This window comes from Homo sapiens, chromosome 1 (assembly GCF_000001405.40).
Source record: "Homo sapiens chromosome 1, GRCh38.p14 Primary Assembly".
NCBI classification, from domain to species: Eukaryota; Metazoa; Chordata; class Mammalia; order Primates; family Hominidae; genus Homo; species Homo sapiens.
Window position 1 is genome coordinate 222,484,254 of NC_000001.11, and position 27,684 is coordinate 222,511,937.

The 27,684-nt window shown below is 46.1% G+C and overlaps 2 long non-coding RNA genes and 1 pseudogene across 3 annotated transcripts; 1 reads left to right on the forward strand and 2 right to left on the reverse strand.

Moving 5' to 3' along the window:
• Nucleotides 1–3,248: 3,248 nt before the first annotated feature.
• On the reverse strand, nucleotides 3,249–14,811 carry LOC105372956 (uncharacterized). 2 transcript variants are annotated; one of them, XR_007066887.1, is made up of 3 exons: nucleotides 14,800–14,811; nucleotides 5,325–5,532; nucleotides 3,249–3,288 (listed from the first exon to the last, which is right to left on the reverse strand). It is a non-coding gene; the product is annotated as an uncharacterized LOC105372956 (long non-coding RNA). The 2 variants fall into 2 exon arrangements; XR_007066888.1 differs by lacking the exon at nucleotides 3,249–3,288 and adding an exon at nucleotides 3,407–3,444.
• Nucleotides 19,379–19,482, reverse strand: RNU6-791P (RNA, U6 small nuclear 791, pseudogene; annotated as a pseudogene).
• Nucleotides 20,113–20,355, forward strand: LOC124904519 (uncharacterized). The gene is made up of 2 exons (XR_007066889.1): nucleotides 20,113–20,228; nucleotides 20,308–20,355. It is a non-coding gene; the product is annotated as an uncharacterized LOC124904519 (long non-coding RNA).
• Nucleotides 20,356–27,684: the final 7,329 nt, after the last annotated feature.

A 27,684-nucleotide genomic window follows, 5' to 3' on the forward strand; every position in this document is an offset into this window, starting at 1 on the left:
TGCTTGCATAATAAAGCCTCCATAAACACCCTGAACGGGGTTTGCAGAGCTTTCAGGGTTGCTGGACACAGGAGATGCTGGGAGGGTCGCATGTTCGACAGAGGGCATGGGAGCTCTGTGCCCCTCCGAACTTAACTTGCCCTGGGTATCTTTCTTTTTTTTGAGACAGGATCAGGCTCTTTTGTCCAAGCTAGAGTGCAGTGGCACAACCTCAGCTTACTGTAACCTAAGCCTCCCCAGTCCCCAGCTCAAGGTATCCTCTCATCTCAGCTTCCCTAGTAGTTGGAACTCTAGGTGCACACCACCACACCAGTTATTATTATTATTTTTTAATTTTTTATAGAGACAGGTTTTCACCATGTTGCCCAGGCTGGTCTCAAACTCCTGAGTTTAAGCGATCCTCCCACCTTGGCCTCCCAAAGTGCTGAGATTACAGGCATGAGCCACTGCATCCAGCATGCATGTCTCTTTCATTGACTGTTTCTGAGATGTATCCTTCACAATGAACCAGTAATAAGAAATGAACTGGCCAGATGTGGTGGCTCACATCTGTAATCCCAGCACTTTCAGAGGCTGAGGTGGGAGGATCACTTGAGACCAGGAATTTGTGGCCAGTCTGGCCAACACAACAAGACCCCATCTATACAAAAAATAAAAGAAACTAGCCAGATGTGGTGGTGCAGGCATGTAGTCTCAGCTACTAGGGAGGCTGAGGTGGGAGAACCACTGGAGCCCAGACAATCAAGGCTGCAATGAGCTATGACTGCACCATTGCACACCAGCCTGGGCAACAAAATAAGACCCTCTCTCTCAGAAAAAAAGAAAATAAACTGTTTTTCTGAGTTCCATAAACTGTTCTAGCAAATTATTAAACTCAAGAAGACAGTTATGGGAACCCCTGATTGGTAACAGGTTGGTCAAAAGTACAGTGACAACTTAAGACTTGCCATTGGCATCTGAGGTGAGGATGGCCTCGTGGGACTGAGCCCCTAACTTGTGGGGTCTGTGCTAACTCCAGGTAGTGTCAGAATAAAGTCATGAGATACCCAGTTAATATCCAGAGCACTGAAGAATTTGGTGTAGAAACTCCATACATACATTCAGTCGGAAGTGTGTGAGTAGAGACAAACATGGGCTTTTCTGTCACCTACCTGCTTAACTGCATAGGAGAGGCAATATGTGGTGCTCATGAACAAAGCAAACATTAAAGTCAGGCCAAACCCAACATTTGACTCAGTCTTAACATCCAGGTGAGCTTGGGCAAATCATTCATTATTCCTAAGGCTTCATCACTCCATTCATAAAATGGGGATAACTGTGGCACCTACCTGTGATTCTGTGAGAATTAACGAAATATTACGCTTGGGGTTATTGTGATCATTATACCTATTCCAAACTATTTGACAAGGACAGTGATGGATGATGACATCAAAAAATCAGAAACTGCAATGAGGTCTCTCAGGCAAAATTCCATATAAGCAAATTACTGTGTCTACAAAGCATTCCTGCCACACTTAATTCACCATTCCCTGAACAAAATATGCCATCTTCGTTGTTCAGATCTGTACAGTGCTGGTTTCCCTTCCCGGGCAGTTTGCGCTATCCCATCCCAGCCCATTCCCCATCCCTCCACCTCCCCCTTCCCTCCCCACTCTCATACAACTCTTCCTCATCTTTCAGGACTTGGCTTCAATGTCACCTTAACTGGAAGCTTCTCTCACTCTCCAGAAGAGCTTCCCATTGCACTTGATGCATGCACTATTATTTGATCATTTTTAAGTTACAGTCCAAATCTTTTTGTACCTGAATAACATGTTGCCCAGTCAGTCTCTCTTCCTGGATTCAGAAGTCTTTCATGGTAGATCCAGCTGGAAGTGACAAAAAGACATCTTTTGACATAAAGGGATGACACAGACAGACATAAGTTCTTAAATGTCTTAAATGTTATGTGAAAATTAAACAGAATTCAAAGACTTGTGGGGAACACTTAGGAGGGAAAGTTACTGGGAATGTCATAAAGGGTTAATTTGTATTTTATTTTATTTTTTGAGAGAGTCTCATTCTGTCACCTAGGCTGGAGTGCAGTGGTGCAATCAGGCTCACTGCAGCCTTGACCACCTGGGCTCAAGTAATCTCACTTAATTTTTATTTGGTTTAAGAAAGTCTTGGTTGAGGGTGGTGGCTTATGCCTGTAATCTCAGCACTTTGGGAGGCTGAGAGAGGTATATTACTTGAGGCCAGGAGTTTGAGATCAGCCTGGGCAATATATTAAGACCCTGCCTCTACCAAAAAACAGAGTGAATGTGTGGAAGACAATTTTTCCACAGACTGGGAGTGAGGGAATAATTTCAGGATGATTCAAGTGCATTACATATATTGTGCACTTTATTTCTATTATTACTACATAGTAATATATAATGAAATGATTCTACAACTCACTATAACGTAGACTCAGTGGGATCTCTGAGCTTGTTTTCCTGCAACTAGACTGTTCATCTGGGGTGATGGGAGACAGTAACAGAATATCAGGCATTAGATTCTCATAAGGAGTACACAGGCCCCTGCCCCTGCCTCTGCCTCTCCCTCTCCCCTCTCCCCTCTCCCCTCTCCCCTCTCCCCTCTCCCCTCTCCCTCTCGGTCTCCCTCTCCCTTTCTTTCCACGGTCTCCCTCTGATGCCGAGCCGAAGCTGGACTGTACTGCCTCTGCCTCTGCCTCTCCCTCTCCCCTCTCCCCTCTCCCCTCTCCCTCTCGGTCTCCCTCTCCCTCTCTTTCCACGGTCTCCCTCTGATGCCGAGCCGAAGCTGGACTGTACTGCTGCCATCTCGGCTCACTGCAACCTCCCTGCCTGATTCTCCTGCCTCAGCCTGCCGAGTGCCTGCAATTGCAGGCGCGCGCCACCACGCCTGACTGGTTTTCGTACTTTTTTGGTGGAGACGGGGTTTCGCTGTGTTGGCCGGGCTGGTCTCCAGCTCCTAACCGCGAGTGATCCGCCAGCCTTGGCCTCCCGAGGTGCCGGGATTGCAGACGGAGTCTGGTTCACTCAGTGCTCAATGGTGCCCAGGCTGGAGTGCAGTGGCGTGATCTCAGCTCGCTACAACCTCCATCTCCCAGCCGCCTGCCTTGGCCTCCCAAAGTGCCGAGATTGCAGCCTCTGCCCGGCCACCACCCCGTCTGGGAAGTAAGGAGCGTCTCTGCCTGGCCGCCCATCGTCTGGGACGTGAGGAGCCCCTCTGCCTGGCTGCCCAGTCTGGAAAGTGAGGAGCGTCTCTGCCCGGCCGCCATCCCATCTAGGAAGTGAGGAGCGCCTCTTACCGGCAGCAATCCCATCTGGGAAGTGAGGAGCGTCTCTGCCCGGCCGCCCATCGTCTGAGATGTGGGGAGAGCCTCTGCCCCGCCGCCCCATCTGGGATGTGAGGAGCGCCTCTGCCCGGCGGCGACCCCGTCTGGGAGGTGAGGAGCGTCTCTGCCCAGCCGCCCCGTCTGAGAAGTGAGGAGACCCTCCGCCCAGCATCCGCCCCATCTGAGAAGTGAGGAGCCCCTCCGCCCGGCAGCCGCCCCGTCTGAGAAGTGAGGAGTCCCTCTGCCCGGCAGCCACCCCGTCTGGGAAGTGAGGAGCGTCTCCGCCCGGCAGCCGCCCCGTCCGGGAGGGAGGTGGGGGGGGTCAGCCCCCCACCCGGCCAGCCGCCCCATCCAGGAGGGAGGTGGGGGGGTCAGCCCCCCATCCGGGAGGGAGGTGGGGGCGGTCAGCCCCCCGCCCGGCCAGCCGCCCCGTCCGGGAGGGAGGTGGGGGGGTCAGCCCCCTGCCCGGCCAGCCGCCCCGTCCGGGAGGTGAGGGGCGCCTCTGCCCAGCCGCCCCTACTGGGAAGTGAGGAGCCCCTCTGCCTGGCCAGCCACCCTGTCCAGGAGGGAGGTGGGGGAGTCAGCCCCCCACCCGGCCAGCCGCCCCGTCCGGGAGGGAGGTGGGGGGGTCAGCCCCCCGCCCGGCCAGCCGCCCCGTCCAGGAGGGAGGTGGGGGGGTCAGCCCCCCGCCCGGCCAGCCACCCCGTCCGGGAGGGAGGTGGGGGTGTCAGCCCCACGTCCGGGAGGGAGGTGGGGGGGTTCAGCCCCCCGCCCGGCCAGCCGCCCCGTCTGGGAGGGAGGTGGGGTCAGCCCCCCGCCCGGCCAGCCGCCCCGTCCGGGAGGTGAGGGGCGCCTCTGCCCAGCCGCCCCTACTGGGAAGTGAGGAGCCCCTCTGCCGGGCCAGCCACCCCGTCCGGGAGGGAGGTGGGGGGCTCAGCCCCCCGCCCGGCCAGCCGACCCGTCCGGGAGGGAGGTGGGGGGGTCAGCCCCCCGCCCGGCCAGCCGCCCCGTCCAGGAGGTGAGGGGCGCCTCTGCCCGGCCGCCCCTACTGGGAAGTGAGGAGCCCCTCTGCCCAGCCAGCCGCCCCGTCCGGGAGGGAGGTGGGGGGGTCAGCCCCCCGCCCGGCCAGCCGCCCCGTCCGGGAGGGAGGTGGGGGGGTCAGCCCCCCGCCCGGCCAGCCGCCCCGTCCGGGAGGTGAGGGGCGCCTCTGCCCGGCCACCCCTACTGGGAAGTGAGGAGCCCCTCTGCCCAGCCACCACCTCGTCTGGGAGGTGTACCCAACAGCTCATTGAGAACGGGCCGGGATGACAATGGCGGTTTTGTGGAATAGAAAGGGGGGAAAGGTGGGGAAAAGATTGAGAAATCGGATGGTTGCCGTGTCTGTGTAGAAAGAAGTAGACATGGGAGACTTTTCATTTTGTTCTGTACTAAGATAAATTCTTCTGCCTTGGGATCCTGTTGATCGGTGACCTTACCCCCAACCCTGTGCTCTCTGAAACATGTGCTGTGTCCACTCAGGGTTAAATGGATTAAGGGCGGTGCAAGATGTGCTTTGTTAAACAGATGCTTGAAGGCAGCATGCTCGTTAAGAATCATCACCACTCCCTAATCTCAAGTACCCAGGGACACAAACACTGCGGAAGGCCGCAGGGTCCTCTGCCTAGGAAAACCAGAGACCTTTGTTCACTTGTTTATCTGCCAACCTTCCCTCCACTATTGTCCTATGACCCTGCCAAATCCCCCTCTGCGAGAAACACCCAAGAATGATCAATAAAAAAAATAAAAATTAAAAAAAAAGTTAAAAAAAAAAAAAAAAAAAAAAAAGGAGTACACAACCTAGATCCCTCGCATGCACACTTCACAACAGAGTTTGTGCTCCTATGAGAATCTAATGCTGCTGCTGATCTGACAGGACATGGAGCTCAGGTGGTCATGCAAGCGATGGGAGGGGCTAGAAATACAGATGAAGTTTCCCTTCACTCACCTGCTGCTCACCTCCAGCTCTGTGGCCCTGTGGTTGGAGACCGCTGCTCAAATGCATTCGAAAGGATCCATCCCATGCCATTCTTCAGAGTCATCTTTACTGCTGCTGTGGTCAACTTGTAGCACCCCTAAGCTCGCAGGACATATGCTTCAACTGGCATTTCACAATCAACAGTATGTGGTAGCTTGAGTCATTGTGAGGTCACTTTCTGGAAATCACCAGCCTCCCATATCCCATTAGCAAGGAGCTCAGCACTGCTCCTTGGATAACCAAACCTATTCCCAAATCCCATCTGTGTGCGTCTATCTCCTGGTACCCTTCCTAGCATCAATTCTGTATTTGTAGGAGTCCAATCAGGAGACACAAACCACTCAAAAGTTTAAACTAGAATGAGCAAGATGGCTCACACCTGTAATCCCAGCACTTTGGGAGGCCAAGGTGGGTGGACTGCTTTGAGCTCAGGAGTTTCAGAACAGTCTGGGAAACATGGTGAAACCTCGTCTCTACAAAAAACACAAAAATCAGCTGGGTGTGGTGGCACTTACCTGTAATCCCAGCTACTCGGGAAGCTGAGGCAGGAGCATTGCTTGAGCCTGGCAGGTGGAGGCTGCAGTGAGCAGAGGTTGTGCCACTGTACTCCAGCCTGGGTGACAGTGTGAGACCCAGTATCAAAAAGAAAAAACGTATATATATATGTAAATTTAATATAAAAAGTATTAATTTTGGCCAGGCACAATGGCTCATGCCTGTAATCCCAGCACATTGGGAGGCCAAGGCAGACAGATCACCTGAGGTCAGGAGTTCGAGACCAGCCTGACCAGCATGGAGAAACCCCATCTCTACTAAAATTAGCTGGGCATGGTGGCACATGCCTGTAATCCCAACTACCCGGGAGGCTGAGGCAGGAGAATCGCCTGAACCCGGCAGGTGGAGGTTGCGCTGAGCCGAGATAGCGCCATTGCACTCCAGCCTGGGCAACAAGAGTGAAACTCCATCTCGAAAAATAAAAAAAGGTATTAATTTTTACAGAGGATCAGCACAATGAGGGACACACTAGCACAAAGTAAAGACAACTCTAGAGAATACGGAACTAGCAGAGGCCAGTCATTGTGGCTCATGCCTGTAATCCCAGCAATTTGGGAAGCCTAGGCAGGAGGATCGCTTGAGGCCAGGAGTTGGAGACCAATCAGTGCTAAATAGTGAGACTCTGTGTCTACCAAAAAAAGAAACGTTAGCCAGGTGTGGTGGTGGTGCACACCCGTAGTTCCAGCTACTTGGGAGTCTGGGGTGGGAGAAATCCCTTGAGCCTGGGAAGTCTACACTACAGTGAGCCAAGATTGTGTCACTGCACTCCAGCCTGGGCGACAGAGTGAGACCCTGTCTTAGAAAGAAAAAAGAAAAGAAAGTGTTAATCCCCCTATGGGAATCTCCTCTTCTCCTGCCGTCTCTGGAACCTCACTTGTCAGTTCTTCCTCCCACTTTCCTGTATCTTTAACCTATCCCCCACTTTTAGCTCCTTCCCATCATCATTTAAATTACTCAAACTTCTTCTGTTTTAAAAACCTCTCCCTAAACTCAGTGAGAGGTCTCCTGCACACCCATTGAGCCATCTGCTCTCCCTGGTGCCTTCTCTACAGCAGCCTGAGCCATGTCTCTAATCCATGAATCTCATCATGTTACTCCTCCATTTACATCACTTCTCCTTGCCTCAGGGATTAAGTCCAAACTCCTTAACAGCCCCTGCTCTGCCCTGCCTTGCAAGGCAGCCTCACTGCTTGCCCCTCTCCATTTCATCTGCTATGGAGTCCAACTGAGCCTCATCTGCCCCTTCAACGCACACTCTTTCTCCTCTGGGAGTCTCTGAAGTGGGTAATATCCTCTGCTTATAATATGCTTCCCCTTAAACCTCTACTCCCTTCCTAGCTAGCTTTGACTCCTCTGTCACTTGTCTGCTTTGGCATCACCTCCTCATAGAAGACTTCTATGACTCCCGAGATTCTCAGGAGCATGGCAGGTGAAGTGCTCCTCCCATGAATGGATGGAGATTAGGGAGTGTGTGTTATTCATGCTTAATTCACCAGTGCTTAGCTGAGTACCTGGCATAAAATAGTTACTGTGGTGGCCAAAGTAATAAGCCCCACCGCCACCAATTGCTCATGTCCTATGTTACACAGCACAATTACATAGGAAGGGGGAATTAAGAGTGCAGATAAAATTAATGTTGCTCATCAGCTGACCTTAAAACAAGATTATCCTGGAGTATCTAGGAGATCCCATGTAATTACAAGCATTCTTTAAAACTGGAAGAGGGAGGCAGAAGGTTAAGAACCAGAGACGGTGGGCACAATGGCTCATGCCTGTAATACCAATACTTTGGGAGGCCAGGGCAGGAAAATCCCTTGAGTGCAGGAGTTCAAGGTCAGCCGTGGCAACATACTGAGGTCCCATCTCTACAACAAAATAAAAACAAAATTCACTGAGTGTCACGATGCTTACCTGTAGTCCCAGCTACTGGGAAGGCTGACATGGTAGGATTGCTTGAGCCTGGGAGTTTGAGGCTATAATGAGCCATGATAGGACCACTGAACTCCATCCTGAGTGACAGGGCAAGGTCCTGTTTCTAAAGAAAAAAAGGACATTGGAATCAGGGTCCTCTCCATCCTGAGGTGCCTACAAGGCATCTGTCTCTGCAAACGAGTAAACATCACCCTCCAACTCCTTACAGAGTGGAGCAGCAGGAAAACTCCTTCACCTCATTTCTGTGCTGCTTGGGAGGCCTGGACAGCCCAATAACCAGCTCCTTGCTGATGAAGCAATCAGGAAATGGCTCGAGTTGAGCTAAGGAGAATTTGGATCCTCCTTTTGGTTCTCAATAGGCAGGGCAGGGGCCAGACATGGTGGCTCATACCTGTAATCCTTGCACTGTGGGGGGCCAAGGTGAGAGGATTGCTTGAGGCCAGGAGCTCAAGACCAGCCTGGGCAACATAGCAAGACCTGGGTGGCATACACCTGTGGTCCCTACTACTTGGTAGGATGAGGTGGGAGGATTGATCACTTGATCCCAGGAGTTTCAGGCTGCAGTGACCCATGATCACACCACTGCACTTCAGCCTGGGTGACAGAGCCAGACCATGTCACAAAAAGTTAGAAAGAAAAAAAAAAGAGAGAGGGAGAGAGACTATACACAGGCACCACCACATTTGGCTAATTTTTAAATATTCTGTAGAGACAAGGTCTTGCTAGGTTGCCCAGGCTAGTCTAAAACTCCTGGCATCAGGCTGGGCATGGTGGCTCATGCTTGTAATCCCAGCACTTTGGGAAGCTAAGGCAGGCAAATCACCCAAAGTCTGGAGTTCGAGACCAGCCTGGCCAACATGGTGAAACTCTGACTCTATCAAAAATACAAAAATTAGCTGGGCAGTAGTGGCGTGTACCTGTAGTCTCACCTACTCGGGAGGCTGAGGCAGGAGAATCACCTGAACCTGGGAGGAGGAGGTTGCAGTGGACCCCATCACTGCACTCCACGCTGGGTGACAGAGTCACCCTGGGTGACAACAACAACAACAATAACAAAAACAAAAACAACAACAACAAAAAAAACTCCTGGCATCAAGACATCTTCCTGTCTTAGCCTCCCAATGCCCTGGGATTATACTGTTTCCTATAATTGAAGACACTTGTTCTTATACTGCTTTAAGGTATAAAGGAAGAAAAAAAAACAGATAATGGCAAATGTTGGTGAAGGCCGGGCATGGTGGCAGCCTGTAATTCCAGAATTTATGGAGGCTGAGGTGCGCAGATCACTTGAGGCCAGGAGTATGAGACCAGCCTGGGCAACATGGTAAAATCCCATCACTACAAAAAAATATAAAAATTAGCCAGGCATGGTGGCGTACACCTGTAATTTTCAGCTACTCAGGAGGCTGAGATGAGAGAATCACTTGTGCCTGGGAGGTCAAGGCTGCAGTGAACTGTGATGGCATCACTGCACTGCGGCCTGAGAGACAGAGCAAGCCCCTATCTAGAAAAAAAAAAATGTCAGTGAAGATGTGGAGGAATTGGAACCCACATACATTACTGGTGGGAACATAAAATCGTGTAACCATTTTGTTTGGGTATTTCTTTTCCTGTCATTTTAATTGGATTTTTAAAAAATCAACACAGGGTTTCACTATCTTGCCCAGGCTGGTCTTGAATTCATGGGCTCAAGCCATCCTCCTAGCTGAGCCTCCTGAGTAGCTGGGATTACAGGTGTGAGCCATTGCACCCAACTGGTGTAGCCACGTTAGAAAACAGTCTGGCAGTTTCTCAAAAGGCTAAATGTACAGTCATCCTATAATGCAACAATTTCACTCCTAGGCATATATCCCAGAAAAATAAAAATATATGTCCACACAAAAACTTGTATAACAATCTTCATAGCAGCATTATTCATAATGACCAATACATGGAATACACGGAAACAACCCAAATATCCACCAACTGATGAACAGATAAACAAAATGCAGTGTGTCTCTACCATGGAATACTGCCATAGAAGGAATGAAATATTGATACACACTATGACATAAAGGAACTTTGAAAACACTGTGCTAAGAGGGAAAAAAAGCCACAAAAGATCACATATTGTACAATTCTATTTGTCCAGATTAGGCAAATCTATAGTGACAAAAAAATTAATCAATGGTTGCCTAAGGCTGGGAGTGAAGGTAGGTGGGGAGAGTAGGAGGTAGTGGCTGAGGGGTATGGATTTCTCTATAGGGTAATGAAAGGTTCTAAAAGTGACTGTGGTGATCGATGCACAGCTCTGTGAATATTCTAAAACCTACTGAATTGCAGATTTCAATAAATAAAGTGAATGGTATGTGAATATTTTAATAAAGCTATTATTTAAAATAATAATAATAGGGGGCTGGGCACAAGTGGTCATGCCTGCCTGTAATCCCAGCACTTTGGGAGGCTGAGGCAGGAGGACCACTTGAGGTCAGGAGTTTTGAGCCCAGTCGGAACAACGTGGCAAGATCCCGTCTCTATGATAAAAAATTAGCTGGACATGGTGGCACGTCTGTAGTCCCAGCTACTTGGGAGACTGAAGTGAGAGAACCGCTTGAGCCCAGGAGTTTGAGGCTACAGTGAACCATGATCATGTCACTGTACTGTAGCCTGAGCAACAGAGCAAGACGCTGTCTCTGAAAAGGAAAGAAAACAAATGCAAGTTTTTATCACTTTGTGAGTGTAGCCAAGTTGGAGGAGAAATAGACAATAATAAAGGAGCACTGAATAATGACGGTGAGTGGCTGGTTAGGCTCAGTTGCTAGCTAAATGGCTTCTAAAAAATTCAATAAAGTTACAGCTCTGGGGACAGTCATGTAGTCAAAGAATGAATGCTAAATTCATTACAAATGCCCATGGTCTTTATTTGCATGCCTTCTAGTGAAAAATTCCTAAGTGCCTAAATAGCAAGTCTGCAATGATAGCAGCTGTTTATTAAAGACTACAAAAAAGAAATGGAGGCCGGGCGTGGTTGCTCACATCTGTACTCCTTGAATTTTGGGAGGCTGAGGCAGGCAGATTGCCTGAGGTCAGGAGCTCCAGAGGAGCCTGGCCAACATGGTGAAACCCCATCTCTACTAAAAATACAAAAATTAGCTGGGTATGGTGGCGGGCGCCTGTAATCTCAGCTACTCGGGAGGCTGAGGCAGGAGAATTGCTTGAACCCAGAAGGTGAAGGTTGCAGTGAGCCAAAATCGCACCATTGCACTCCAGCCTGGGTGACAAGAGAAAGACTCTTATCTTAAAAAAAAAAAAGAAAAAAAAGAAATGGCATCTTCTTCAAGAATTACATCGTGTTTCATGATAAAGAAGCTCTAATTTTGCATTTGTTCAAGTATTGATGAGATTTAGCCAATATGACACCCATCTTGGATAAAATGCAAACAACACAATTTCATTTTCTCATTAACAAAACTGATTAAGTAGTCTAATATCAATTCTGATCTTATTAAAAACTGATCAGATTTAAAAAATTATGGAATTATGGAGCCAATAAGATGTTACAACCTGTTCCAAGGGGAATTCCAAAATCCACACATATCTGAGACCATCAAGTATGATGAAATATATTTGATTACTATATTGAAAAATAAACTGATTACATAGCCAACAATTGGACAGGGGTCTCCTCATCCACAGCCACACAAACCCGATCATGCAGCTATGTGGTTACAAGGCCTACATAGCCTAGAAGGGACTGGTCTGACTTGAGATTTCATTTGTATTTGTATTTTGAGGCAGGGTCCCACTCTGTCACCCAGGATGGAGTGCAGTGGTATAATCATAGCTCACTGCAACCTTGACCAACTGGGCTCAAGAGATGCTCCTGCCTCAGCTGCCCCCATACCTGGGAATACAGGCAAGTACCACCATGTCAGGCATTTTTTTCATTTTTGTAGAGAGAGAAGTCTTGCTATGTTGCCCAAGCTGGCCTCAAACTCCTAGAATCAAGAGATCTGCCCATCTCAGCCACATGAGTAACTGGGGCCATAGGTACATCATGCCTGGCTATATTTATTTTATTAAATTTATTTTTTTTATTTTTGTAGAGAGGAGATCTTGCTGTGTTGCCCAGGCTGCTCTCAAACTCATGGCCTTAAAACATACTCCCATCTCTGCCTCTCAAACTGTTGGAACTATAGGTGTGAGCCACTGCACCTGGCCTAACTTGAGATTTCTTTTATCTAGCATCCTTTACTTGGTAGGATTGGGAAAGGCAGTAGTGTTTTTTAAAATTACTTAATAATTCCATCAGAATCAAACTCAACGTTGACCACTGCCTTCTCTCACAGCTCACATCCAGTCTGTCAGGAAATCCTACTGACTTCAACATGTATCCAGGCTCTGACCATCTCTCACCACCACCGTGAACACGGTCAGGATCACTATCATCTCCCACCGGGATGTTGCCACAGCTTGGCCCCCATGCTTCTACCCAAATCTTCCCATAGTCTTTCTCAACTTGGCAGCCAGGTCGTGCTTTTAAATCAGGAGACAGATCACGTCGCCTCTCTGCTCAGAAGCCCTCGGTGGTTCCCATTTTAGTCAGAGTAAAAGCCAAAGCCCCAGCAATAGCGTCCCAGGGCTTACACGATCTGTACCGATCCCAGCCCAGCAACTCCCTGGCCTCCTCGCTGACTTCGCTCCCTCTATCTCTTTGCTCCACTGGCCTCCTTCCAGAGCCTCAGACACACCAGAGAGTTTCCTCCTAATGCCTTTATCCTGTTGACTCAGCCTACAATGCTCTTCCCTCAGCACCTTGGCCAGCTCCATCACCTGCTTCAAACTTTTGCTCAATATTCACTTATGAGGCCAACCCTGACCGCTCTACTTAACATTGCCATCTGTCCCCATTCCCACCATGCTCATTTCTTTCTTTCTTTCTTTTTGAAACAAGGTCTTGCTTTATTGCCTAGGCTGGAGTACACTGGTGCAATCACAGCTCACAGCAACTTCAACCTCCCAGGCTTAAACAATCCTCCCGCCTCAGCCACCCTAGGAACTGAGACTACAGCTGCATGCCACAACACATGGCTTTTTTTTTTTTTTTTTTTTTTTTTTGAGACGGAGTCTCAGTCGCCCAGGCTGAAGTGTAAGGGTGCGATCTTGGCTCACTGCAATGTCTGCCTTTTGGGTTCAAGTGATTCTCTGCCTCCCGAGTAGCTGGGATTACAGGCACCCACCACCACACCTGGCTAATGTTTGTATTTTTAGTACAGATGGGGTTTCACCATCTTGGCTAGGCTGGTCTTGAACTTCTGACCTCGTGATCCACCCTCCTCGGCCTCCCAAAGTGCTGGGATTACAGGCATGAGCCACTGCGCCTGGCCTTTTAAAAAAAATTTTTTTAGACATGAGGTCTCATTATGTTGCCCAGGCTGGTCTTAAGCTCCTGGGCTTAAGCGATCCTCCCACCTCAGCCTCCTAAAGTTCTGGGATTACAGGCGTGAGCAACTGTAACATGAGGTCCCAGCTTCATGTTCATTTTTTGTTGTTGCTACAACAAAGTACCCTACATTTAGTGGCATCAAACACCACAAATCTACCATCTTACAGTTCTGGGGGCCAGAAGCCCAACTAGGTCTATTAAGGCTAAAGTCAAGGTGTCAGAGGGGCTGCATTCCTTCTGGGGGAGGCTCTAGACAGAATGTGCTCCTTTGCCTTTTCCAGCTTCTAGAAGCCACCCCCATTCCTTGACTTACCTCGTGACTCCATATTCAAGGCCAGAAGTGCAGCATCTTCAAATCTCCCTCTCTGACCTCTTCTTCCATTACCACATCACTTTCTCTAATTCTGACTCTCCTACCTCCTTCTCTTATAAAGATCCTTGTGATTGGTGGGTATGGGGGCTCCCATCTGTAATCCCAACATGTTGGGAGGCCAAAGAGGAAGGATTGCTTGAGGCCAAGAGTTAGAGATCAGCCTGGGGAAAATAGGAAGACCCTGCCTTTACAAAATTAAAATTAAAATCAGCTGGACATGGTGATGCACGCCTGTAGTTCCAGCTACTGGAGAGGCTAAGGTGGGAGGATTGCTTTAGCCTAGGAGGTCAAGGCTGCAGTGAGCTATGATCACATCACTGCACTCCAGCCTCAGTGGCAGAGTGAGACTCTGTCTCCAATATAAGAAAAGAAATATACATTTGGTCTCTGCCCCTGGTTCCTGGCATAGAGCTTCCAAAGCTCTTATAAAGCCCTTCGTGACAGAGGTAATAGAAGCATTTTCTGTTTTGATATTTAGTCTTAGTCCCAGGTTCCTGACACAAGGGCCTCTAAGGTCTTTCAGATCTGCAGCATGGTAAGAATGCATGTGGGATGCTGTTGAGCTAACAGGGTGGCTGCAAGCTCCTAGACTGCTTCAGGAGGAGGGCTAGCTGCCAGAGAAAGCAACCACATTTTTTTTTTAAAACGGAGTTTGGCTCTTGTAGCCCAGGCTGGAGTGCAATGGCACAATCTCAGCTCACTACAACCTCCACCTCCCGGGTTCAAGCAATTCTCCTGCCTCGGCCTCCCGAGTAGCTGGAATTATAGGGATGTGCCACAACGCCTAGCTAATTGTTGTTATTTTTAGTAGAAACGGGGTTTCACCATGTTGGTCAGGCTGGTCTCAAACTCCTGACCTCAAGTGGTCCATGTGCCTCAGCCTTCCAAACTGCTAGAATTACAGGAGTGAGCCACTGCACCTGGCCCCAACCACATTTTTTGAGGCTTGGAACTTTCAGCCTCACCTGCTGAACTCCAGGAGGCAAAAGGAACTGGAGATTGACTCAACTACCAATGGCCAATGATTTTATCAATCATGCCTCCATAAAAACCCAAACAGCAGGGTTTGGAGAGCTTCTGTGTTGCTAAACACAAGGAGGTCCTGGGAGGGTAGTGTGCCCAACAGAGGGCATGGAAGCTCTGTGCCCCTCCCCACTTACCTTGTCCTGTGCATCTCTTTCATTGGCTGTTCCTGAGATGCAGCCATTACATTGAGCCAGTAATAGAAAATAAGGTGGCCAGATGCGCTGGCTCATGCCCATAATCCCAGCACTTTGGGAGGCAGAGGTGGGCGGAATCACTTGAGCCTAGGAATTTGAGACCAGTCTGGGCAACATAAGAAGACCCCATCTATACAAAAAATAAAAGAAATTAGCCAAATGTGGTGGTGGGAACCCTGTAATTCCAGCTACTTGAGAGGCTGCAGCAGGAGAATCACTTGAGCCCTGGAGGTTGAGGCTTCAATGAGCTATGATTGCACCACTGCACACCAGCCTGGACAACAGAGCGAGGCACTGTCTCTTAAAAAGAAAAGAAAAAAACCTGCTTTTCTAAGTTCTGTGAGTTGTTCTAGTAAATAATTAAACTCAAGAAGAGGGTCATGGGAAACCCTGATTTCTAACTGGTTGGTCAAAATACAGGTGACAACCTAGGACTTGCAACTGGCATCTGAAGTGAGGGTGGTCTTGTGGGACTGAGCCCCTAACCTGTGGGTTCTGCGCTAACTCTAGGTAGTGTCAGAATGGAATTGTGGGATACGCGGTTGGTATCCAGAGAGTTGGAGAACTGGTGTAGAAACTCTGCACACACATTTGGTCAGAAGTCTGTGAGTAGAGAGAAACGTGTTGCGGGAAGTCAGAGACCCCAAACGGAGGGACCGGCTGAAGCCACGGCAGAAGAACATAAATTGTGAAGATTTCATGGACATTTATTAGTTCCCCAAATTAATACTTCTATAATTTCTTGGGCCTGTCTTTACTGCAATCTCTGAACATAAATTGTGAAGATTTCACGGACACTTATCACTTCCCTAATCAATACCCTTGTGATTTCCTATGCCTGTCTTTACTTTAATCTCTTAATCCAGTCATCTTCGTAAGCTGAGGATGAATGTCCCCGCAGGACCCTGTGATAATTGCGTTAACTGCACAAGCTGTTTAAACAGTATGAAACCTGGGCACCTTGAAAAAAGAACAGGATAACAGCAATTTCAGGGAACAAGGGAGATAACCTTAAACTCTGGCTGCCTGTGGGCCGGGTGGAACAGAGCCATATTTCTCTTCTTTCAAAAGCAAATAGGAGAAATATTGCTGAATTCTTTTTCTCAGCAAAGAACATCCCTGAGAAAGAGAATGCGTCCCTAAGGGGAGGCCTCTGAAATGGCCGCTTTGGGGACGGCTGTCTTTTACAGTCGTAGATAAGGGAAGAAATAAGCCCTGGGCTCGCGTGGCGCTCCCAGGCTTATCAGGACAAGGAAATTCCCGCCTAATAAATTTTGGTCAGATGGGTTGTCTGCTCTCAAACCCTTTCTCCTGATAAGATGTTATCAATGACAATGCGTGCCCGAAACTTCATTAGCAATTTTAATTTCGCCCCGGTCCTGTGGTCCTGTGATCTTGCCCTGCCTCCATTTGCCTTGTGATATTTTATTACCTTGTGAAGCATGTGATCTCTGTGACCCACACCCTATTCGTACACTCCCTCCCCTTTTGAAAATCACTAATAAAAACTTGTTGGTTTTGCGGCTTGCGGGGCATCATGGAACCTGCTGACATGTGATGTCTCCCCTGGACACCCAGCTTTAAAATTTCTCTCTTTTGTGCTCTTTCCCTTTATTTCTCAGACCGGCCGACACTCAGGGAAAATAGAAAAGAACCTACATGAAATATCGGGGTGAATTTCCCCCGATATCACACGGGCTCTTCTCTCACCTGTCTACCTGCTTAACTGCATAGGAGAGGCAATGCATGGTGCTCATGAACAAGGCAAGCATTAAAGTCAGACCAGACTAACATTTGACTCAGTCTTAATATTCAGGTGAGCTTGGGCAAATCACTCATTAACCCCAAGTCTTCATCATTTTGTGCATATAATGGGGATAACTGTGGCACCCAACTGTTTTTGTGAGAATCAATGAAATATTATGCTTGATGTTATTGTGATCATGATACTATCTGACAAGGGCAGTGATGCATGATAACATCAAAAAATTAGAAACTGTAATGAGGTCTCTTGGGCAAAATTCCATACAAGCAAATTATTGTCTCTACAAAGCATTTCTGCCACACTTAATTCACCATTCCCTGAACAAAATGTGCCATCTTCATTGTTCAGGTCTGTATAGTGCTGGTTTCCCTGCCTGGGCAGCTCACTCCATCCCATCCCAGCCCAATCCCCATCCCTCCACCTCCCCCTTCCCTCCCCACTCTCATACAACTCTTCCTTATCTTACAGGACTTGGCTTCAATGTCACCTTAACTGGAAGCTTCTCTCCCTCTCCAGAAGAGCTTCCCATTGCACTTGATGCATGCACTATTATTTGATCATTTTTGAGTTACAGTCCAAGTCTTTTTGTACCTGAATAACATGTTGCCCAGCCAGTTTCTCTTCCTGGATTCAGAAGTCTTTCATGGTAGGTCCAGCTAGAAGTGACAAAAAGACATTTTAAAAAAAAAAAAAAGAGGGATGACACAGACAGACATCAGCACTTAAAAGTTTTAAACGATATGTGAAAAACAAAATTTAAGGGCTTCTAGGAGAAATGTAGGAGGGAAGGTGCTACTGGGAAATATGATAGAAGGTTAATTTTTATTTTATTTTATTTTTAGAGAAAGGGTCTTGCTCTATCGCCTAGGCTGGACTGCAGTGGTGCAATCACAGTTAACTGCAGCCTCAACCTCCAGGGCTTGAGCAATATTCCCATCTAATTTTTATTTTGTTTAAGAAATGCAGTCTTGCTCTTAGCAAAGCTAAAGTGCAATGGTGTGATCATAGCTTACTGCAGCCTCAACCTTCTAGACTCAAGTGATCCTCCAGTCTTAGCCTCCCCAGTAGCTGGGACTACAGGTGTGCACTGCAACATGTAGCTCATTTTTTTTTTTTAATTTTTAGTAGAGACAAAGTGTCACTATGTTGACCAGGTTGGTGGTGATCTCCTACACTCAGGCAGTTCTCTCACCTCAGCCTTCCAAAATGCTGGGATTACAGGTGTGAGCTGCCACACCTGGCTGAGGGGGTTAATTTTTAATTATATAAAGAGCTCAAAGCAAATATTAGAAGGAGCCTAAATGCCTCCAGCAGTTGACTGGTACTGGTAAATTGTGATACATCCATATAATAAAATATTATGCAACCATGAAAAGGATTAAGATAGATCAATAGGTATTGGCACAAATGTCCATGAAATATGAAAATATGAAGTGATGTTCAATCACCATGTATGTATCTTGAAGGATATGGCCCATTTTCTCAATTGCAATTATTTCCTGAGATAAGATTATGGGTCTAAAGAGTGAAGGACATTTTTCACTTATTTAAAAGTATTTATTATTTTTATAATTTAATAAAAGATTAAACAGATCATTGAATTAGTAAAAGACAAAGTAACTCTATAAATAAATGGAAAAGACACAGATACCCCAGGCATGGTGGCTCATGCTTATAATACCAGTATTTTGGGAGGGGGTGGTGGGGGGATTGCTTGAGGCCAGGAGTTCCAGACCAGCCTAAGAAACAAAGCAAGACCTCGTCTCTAGTAAAAATAAAAAAATAAAAATAATTGGCCAGGCATAGTGGCATGTGCCTATAGTCCCAACTACTGAGGCGGAAGGATCACCTGAGCCTAGGAGGTCAAGGCTGCAGTGAGTTGAGACTGTGCCACTACACTGAAGCCTAGGAGACAGAGCGAGACTTCATCTCAAAAAAAAAAAAAAAAGGACAATAAAGAAATAAAGCTAATAAGCTAACATAAGGAAAGATAAAATATGTGACAAATAGGCTGGGCGCATGGCTCACAGCTGTAATCAAGCACTTTGGGAGGCCGAGGCGGGTAGATCACGAGGTCAGGAGTTCGAGACCAGCCTGATCAACATGGTGAAACCACGTTTCTACTAAAAATACAAAAATTAGCGGGGCATGGTGGCATGTGCCTGTAATCCCAGCTACTCAGAAGGCTGAGGCAGGAGAATCACTTGAACCTGGGAGGCACAGGTTGCAGTGAGCCGAGATCACACCACTGCACTCCAGCCTGGTCGACAGAGCGAGACTGCATCACAAAAAAAGAAAAAAGAATGGGTGACAAAGTAATAATATCAGGTCTTTCATTTATCACACAGAAAATAACTTGTTAAATTATAATACCTGTGTGGGCGAAGGTGCAGTGAAATGGCCATTTTCTTGTAGTATTAGTGGTGTTTAAAATGTATATAAGCCTTCCAGCATAAAGCTTGGAAATTTTTTTTAAATCATACAGACAGTGCCTCATTATACTGCCTCCTCCAACTCCTGGCCTCAAGCAATCCTCCCACCTCAGCCTCCCAAAGTGCTGGAATTACAGGCTGACAGCCACCATGCCTGAAAGCTTTGCAATTCACATCAAGGGTAATAAGAATGCTCATGCCCTGTGACTCACAGTAATCTCACTTCTGGAAATTTCATCTTTGGATATAATTCAACCTAAACAAAAGGTCATATGCACAAACACAGTGAAAATCTGGGAGTAATTTTTTTCTCTTTTTTAAAAAAAATATGGAATGCTTCACAAATTTGCATGTCATTCTTTCACAGAGGCCGTGCCAATCTCTCTATTGTTCCAACTTAAGTATGTGTGCTACTGAGGCAAGCATGAGTAATGTAAGATAGAGTGGTTAAGTGAAATAATGAAGAATTATGGAGAATTTAAAAATCTATGCTATTTATATGCACCTAGTAACAGCTCAGTAAATATTAGCTGCTACTATTATTATTTTTATGGTAATTTCACTCAATTAAAAACTGTCATTAAAAATTACCATTGTCATGGAACATAATGTCTCCTACTGTATAATTGTAAAAACAGATACAATTTGTCCCTTGGTATATGGGGGGATTAGTTCCAGCTCTCCCATTTCTGTGTATACCAAAATCCACGCATACTCAAGTTTTCGAAGTCAGTCCTGTGGAATCCACATATAACACAAATGGGAAAATTAGTGAGGTGTGGTGACAAGCACCTGTAGTCCCAGCTACTTGTGAGGCTGAGGCAGGAGGATTGCTTGAGCCCAGGAGGTTGAGGCTGCTGTGAGCCATAATTGCACCACTGCACTCCAGTCTGGGCAACAGAGTGAGACAGAAGGTTGACTTTTTAATAGAATTTTTCTGTTCACTTGAAGATATGGTCAGGATTGTGGCATATGAAAATTCTTCATAAAATAACTATCTAATCCAATTAATGCTGGAATTGGGAACAGCAGAAGTGTCATCTCAGAGCTACTCACAATGAAAGGTGATGTCTGGGGCTCAGGTGTGTTGAGGTCCCCATGCCTGGACTATGGGTGCTGAGTGGGATTTACTTGTCCATCCATTTTCTATATTCCAGCACTGGGAAACTAGGGTTTATCCATCTTGATAAGATGTCATTTAAATTCCACTTCGCAAGAACCACAAATGGAAGAAAGGCCATGAAACCGCAGGACAGTACTTGTTCTCAAGGGAATCTTCAGCTTAGGTGGCTCTGTAAAAGAGAAGTTACATTGTTGAAAAATTGTCGCAGGTCAGGTGAGGTGGCTCATACCTATAATCCCAGCCCACTGGGAGACTAAGGCAGGAGGATTCCGTGAGGCCAGGAGTTCAAGACCAGCCTGAGCAACACAGTGAAACCTCATCTCTACAAAAAATTAGAAAATGAACTGGGTGCGGTAAAACATTCGTATAGTCCCAGCTACTCTGGAGGCTGAAATAGGAGGATCGCTTGAGCCCAGGAAGTGGAAGCTGCAGTGAGCTCTGATCTCACCACTGCACTCCAGCCTGGGTGACAGAGTGAGACCCTGTCTCAAGACACACACACACACACACACACACACACACACACACACACACACACACAATCTCAGTCTGTCCAGCCTTGACTAATCAAAAGGGCCTTCTGGTTACAGAAGAGGTATGCTCTTTTGTAGGACAGGGAGAGACCAGCAAGCTTGTTCACAGACTTTTCCTCATCCTCTGCTTAGTTTTCCAAGAACCCTCACAGTGGAAATGGAGTCTCTGGGAAAATGACCTAAATCTTTGGGTTACCAGGGGAGAAATATGCCTCCTTTGTCAATTAATAAATGGAACATCTGCCTTAAAATCCAGGGAGTTCTGCTAGAATGAATCACTCCCTAAGACCCTGACCTATGCATGGAACATGAAAAACTGAAGTTTAACTGGGCGCGGTGGATCACGCCTGTAATCCCAGCACTTTGGGAGGCTGAGGCGGGCGGATCACCTGAGGTCAAAAGTTCTAGATCAGCCTGGCCAACATGGTGAAACCCCGTCTCTACTAAAAATACAAAAATTAGTTGGGCATGGTGGTGGACAACTGTAATCCCAGCTACTCGGGAGGCTGAGGCAGGAAAATCGCTTGAACCCGGAAGGCGGAGGTTGCAGTTACTTCTAGAGGGAATTTCCATTAGCCCTTTGAAATCCTTCAACATTCATGAAGGCCAAAGAGTTTTCACCTAATTTAATCTGATGGGTATGTGACCAGAGTCTTTCTAGGGAATAGAGACTCCCAAACAGTTCAGCTGGGAAGTGAGGAGAGAATTTATTACTCAAAATCAAAGGGAAATGAAAAGAGGCCAACATAGAATGTCATTATTCTTTCTTGGTGGGGAATGGATTCCAGAGTCATTCTGTGACCTTTACATGACCTCCTTATTAGCATCTAAAAGCTTCCAGTGTAGGATGCAGCCAGCTAGGTTCTCTTCTAATGTAATAAAATTTGCTTCAGCAAATCTTATGCAGAGCCATCTCCAGGCTCCAGAAACAATAGGCTATAAATTACTGGATTTCCCATTTGATACAATGAAGTATATGCATGGTCCTGAATGACTCCTCTACATACTACTCTGGGTGGCTTGAAGTGAATTTGATACAAGAACTGGAGCGAGCACAAAGCAGAGCTAGATCTAGGATTAATGTGCTTGGGCCCAGCTCCTCACTACTCACCTATGAGTCTAGTTCCAGAACCCAAGTAGAGGGTGGGGAAACAAGGCTCCTGACTTTTTTTCCCTAATGTCTGCATCTCTTTCACATTTCTTATCTCCTTGCAAAGAAACTAAACAGGCTCAACTGAAATAACTAAATGATTAAACCCTATACAGAGAATCTCCAAAGACTGACAAAATATCATTCAAGACTGTTACACAGACAACCTTGAGGATGACTTGATGTACCAGTGATCTACAATATTTGGGATCATTCCAAATTCCCATCAAGGATCTGCCTATATCAACAAAGGAGCCAAGGACCAACCATTCAAATGGGCCCTGCTGCCAAGCTTTTTTTTTTTTTACAATGCCATCTCTTCATATTGTTCCATTTAACAAAACTGCAGCCCTTCATCTATCCTTAAGTCCCTTGGCCAATTATACAGAGCCAGAGTATGCTAATCCCTAGCAGGAAATCAACAGGATGACCCACTAAACACCATTCAGAAGATGCTAAGACCCATGAATTGCAACAGGAAAGAAAAGACAGGGAATTAGTCAGACAGGTACATGCTGTGCCAAAAATGCACTACAGCCCCCACCCAATTCTGCCTAATCCTAGCTGGGCTGACACCAACCTGATGAGACAGGCCTATAAGATCTCAAACTAAAACAGAAACTCCTGAACTGGGTTCTTTCAAACCCAGGAAGCAGCAGTAAATCATTAAAGAACAGATAAGTTCTTAAGGTGAGGGAGAGTTTCAGATAAATGGAATGCTGGTAGAACACAGGGCCCAAAGGAGCAAAAGTTAACCTAAGCCCAGGTAGAACCTTGTTTACTAGAGTATTAGGCATGGGTTTGGGCAACTATTCTAACCAGAGAAACTGGCTTCAGTGAGGGCAAGTTGGCAATCCAAGGTATAGCATGCATAGGGCTGGCAAAATTCAGGGTGACTGGAGCAAAAGCTTCAGAACCAGAAAGACCACATCTGGGGGTAGAGCACAAAACTCTCAAGAGATGAATCTTTGTAAGAGTGAGGCAGAACTATATAGCAGTTTTAGGAGATCTGTTGGTGCCCAGCAAGAGCTCCAAATGGGCTATATGCAGGGATGCAGGCTGTAGTCTCAGGAGAGGAGGTTCACAAAAGTCATTCAGTCCAAGACCTCAAACTGTGTTCTCTACTAAAAGGAATCAAGGTTCCCTAGAGAAATGGCTGACTCCATGTATGGTGCAGTATATTGATCCTGGAACATCTTTTTTGCCAGAAAGCAAGGAAGCCATCAAAGTCCAACAGGATCACGTCAAAAAGACATGAAAGTCAACTTGAAGAGATAATTATTAACCTAGATGAGACAATGTAAGCATCCAAAACAATAAAGACTGCAATGGCCTGAAATACATCAAATGCAAACAATAATCTATGAGTTCATAATGGTATTCAGAAAAAAAACTACTGGTCATTAGAGGGAAGGTTACTAGGTCACTAACTTACTACTCTGAAAAGTGACTTAAGATGAGAGGTAGGGTGGAGAATTAGCTATTTATTCAGTCTTTCCTGTACAAACATAAATTTTTAGGGAGATTGAAGCAGACGAAACAAATCTGGAAAAATGGAGGTAACTGCTTAATCTGCGGGTTGGGTGCATGGAGGTTCAACATATTTCTTTTGTGTATATTTGAACCCCCTACAAAAAAAGCACAAGACAGAATGTGAGCCAAGCAGCTTAGGGTTTAGGCAAGGCTTCTGCCTACAAGAGACACCAGGATATGAGGGGTAGTTTTAGCCCTGATGGGCTGAGCCAACTGGAGGTATATAGGGAGGTGCTAAATTGCAGAGGTATCATGTTGCCCAGCACTTGATCAAATCCTAGATCCTAGGTCTGCTTGGTAGCATGCTTCCTAGGTAGTGGATCTGAGGCTACCTATAGAACTTCCTTTGCAGTCATAATTCGCTCAGAAACTACAAAAGTGCTTGCTCTTGAAAATGGAGTCTTTGTCCATTTCATGCTTCTATACAAGAATACCACAGACTGCATAATTTATAAAAAGGAAAAAAGGAAGGAAAGAAAAAAGGAAGGAAGGAGGGAAGGAGGGAAGGAAAGGAAGGAAGGAAAAGAAGGAAAGGAAGGAAGGGAAAGAGAAAGAGGGAAGGAGGAAGGGAGGGAAGGAGGGAGGGAGGGAGGGAGAGAGAGAGGGAGGGAGGGGAAGGGAAGAAAAGGGAGGAGAAGGGAAAGGAGGAAGAAAAGGAAAGGAAAGGAATAAATTTTATTTCTTAACAGTTCTGGATGTTAGGAAGTCCAAGGTTGAGGGGCCTGCATCTGGTAAGGGTCTTCTTGCCGCATCATCCCACTACAGAAGGCAGAAGGAAAAGAGAGTGCAAGAAGGCAAGAGGGCAAAAGGGCTGAACTCTGTTTTATAATAAGCCCACTCTGTGATTACTAATCTATTACCACAATAACAACATTAACTCATTCATGAAGGCTATTTTATTAGGCCCCACATCCCAACTGTTGCATTGAGGATTGAGTTTCCAGCACATAAACTTTGGGGGACACATTTAAACCATAGCAGAGCACTTAGGTTAATTCAACTAAGAGGAGCTGGGAAAATCAAAGGCATGAGAAAGACAGCAAAAGCTAGCAGAGAGAAATGCATAGGTTAAGGAAAAAAGTCACAGTGAATCCTGTAGTGCAGGCTACTTTATCAAAAGCACCTTAAAAAGATCTCATTAACTCCCCCAGCTCACCTCCACTCACATCTAAAGAGCCACACACAGCACCACCAAAGGCAGCACAATGAGAACAGCATTCTCCTCAACAGACAAGCTGGGAGTATCTAGACACCTGACCTCAATAGCTCCAGAACAGCCCTAAAACAGTTCCTCCCTAACCACCACTCAAGTCACCAGCTTGGAAAGTATTAAGAAAACCCAAATCCTGACACACCACTATGAAACAACTTAAAACAGCAAAGAACAACCCATTTAAACAGCAATGCCAGCTGCTGGGAAAAAAAGAAACAATAAGTAGAGGAGAAACAGACCTCTTGGGGTCCACCAAGACCCAGTCTCTCAGCTTCAGCACTTTCAAATGCAGAATCCGTACCCCTCTGGGGCCTGTGGAGCTCCACAAGGCATGTCATCCTCAAAGATAAATGAGCAGGCAAGCTGGCTAGAAAACCACTAAGGGTATTATTCTTTAAAGAATCTTTATAGGGTCAAAGAGGAATGGGTCTTAACTGGCTATGTGAACTCCCCACAGATTCTGAGGATGATGTCAGTATCCCTTTCCAGATGTGTTCAACACTTTGCAGTCACTTGTATTCCTGCCACTGAGTGCCAGTGCTTTGCTAATTTGAACTGATTCCAGCTCACGCTGACCCCAGCTCCCTGGATGTTACCATTAGCCAAGACTGTCACCCATACTGTACCCTTTCAAAGAGTCCTAAAAACAGCTCTTCACCTACTCTTCCAAGACAAGTAAAAATGTCTGCCAAAGAAATGGGGAAAAAAGATTCAGAGAGTGAAAACAATTAATATACTAACAAGAGAGCAAAAAGCAAAGGGGGAGGAGAAACTAGGAAAATCATATATGGGCTCTCACCTATTTCCAAAGCTGGGCTAATGTCCTTTTGCTTGTGTCTGAATAAGGCACCAATTTTAAGCTGCTAATGAAAAAAAAAGAAAAAGAGAAAGAAGCAGGCCCAGGCTGGGCGCAGTGGCTCATGCCTGTAATCCCAGCACTTTGGGAGGCCGAGGCGGGTGGATCACCCAAGGTCAGGAGTTCTAGACCAGCCTGGTCAACATGGTGAAACACCATCTCTACTAAAAATACAAAAAATTAGCCAGGCATGGTGGCGCATGCCTGTAAATCCAGCTACTCAGGAGGCTGAGACAGGAGAATTGCTTGAACCTGGAAGGCAGAGAATGTGGTGACCCGAGATCACGCCATTGCCCTCAAGCCACGGCAATGAGAACAAAATTCGGTAAAAACAAAACAAAACCACCATAAAATAACTCAGACTTAATTAAATACAACCCTAGTGGTGAATGACTAAAGATGGATTACTCATAACAGAGATAACAGTCCAATAAGAATCCAGGAATCTTACCTTTTAATAGCAAAAAAATCCTTTCCTTCGAAAGTAACATCCTCTCAAGGCCAGGAATTCCATTAGTAGAAAGCCTTCCTAAAAAACAAAATTCCTGGCCAGGCATGGGTTCACGTCTGTAATCTCAGCACTTTGGGAGGCCGAGGCGAGAAGATCACTTGACGTCAGGAGTTCGAGACTGGCCCGGCCAACATGGTGAAACCCCATCTCCACTAAAAATACAAAAATTAGCCTGGTGTGGTGGTGGGCACCTGTAATCCCAGCGACTTGGGAGGCTAAGGCAGGAGAATTTCTTGAACCCAGGAGGCAGAGGTTGCAGTGACCAGCAAGGTTGCGCCATTGCACCCCAGCCTGGGCAATAAGAGTGAAAACTCTATCTCAAAAAAAAAAAAAATTCCTTTGGGAAGGCCTTCTACATAAAAATCTTCAACATGAGACTGGAAAAAAGGGTATGGGATCATCACCAGACCTTCGGCTTTTACAGCTCGAGCTATAAGAACAAAAAGAAAAAGGGATATCATTTAAACACAGTATGTAGAAAAGAATAATTATTGAATCTGTACTGGTCTTTAACTTTTACACTTTGATCTTTAATTCTGTTATTGTGATTGAGTCCAAAGAAAAATAGTATGAGTAAAATAAAAAGAACACCAAAAATGCTAATATTCTGTTTACCAAAGTCTGTAGTGAAATATCCCATTAAATCCAAGTGCAGTGCTACACACCCATAATCCCAGCACTTTGGGAGGCTGAGGCGGGTGAATCTCCTGAAGTCAGGAGTTCAAGGCCAGCCTGGCCAACATGGTGAAACCCCAACTCTACTACAAATACAAAAATTAGGCAGGCGTGGTGGCAGAGGCCTGTAATCCCAGCTACTTAGGAGGCTGAGGCAGGGAGAATTGCTTGAACCCAGGAGGTGAGCTTGCCATGAGCTGAGATCATACCACTGCATTCCAGCGTGGGCGACAGAACAAAACTTCAACCTCCAAAAAAAAAAAAAAAAAAAAACAGCTAGCAGGTGACATTTGCTATGGGGAGACTAGGGATATGATCTTGCTGCAATCCTTCCATTTTAGTAAATCTAAACAGTGTGAATCCATTCTGTTTCATCCCCACTCCACTCCAGAGCCAAAACAAGAAAATCAATTATATTTCTAGTTCTTTAAAAACATATCTAACTAAATCATCTAATTAAAAGATAATATGCATGGTTCCATACTCTAAAAGAAAACTTATGTCCTGCATATCATGGACATTTGATGAATGCTTATTCAGTTGACTGGTGTAGACTTCAATAATAACCTGTTCAATGCATTATGCCAGATGAATCTTGCATCTCAAAAGTGGAACAAATATTGTTCTTTCAGTTTTGTCTACCCATAAATGCAATATTTACTAATAAAAAGAAAATGAGTTTATTGTTCTAGAGAGTATGAGAATTTTGACAACATGAATTCTCCTGTCCTAGGACATAATTAATACTTAGAGGCATACTATTTCATGTGGAAGCTACCGTTAAATCAATGTTAAGTGTTAATTACCTCACATAATCTTCTAATCTGACTTAAGACTGAAGACGTACCTCACAAAGCTGATTTATCAAGTTGTAAATCTTCACCTGTTGAATTCATAAGTTCATGTCTGAAAGGTGAGAATAAATACTTAATATTCACTAGGCAATATTCAGCAAAGTAATATCCACTAGTACATATTTAATATTTCATCATGAACTGCGAGTGTGAAGAGAAAAGACAGGCTGGGCACAGTGG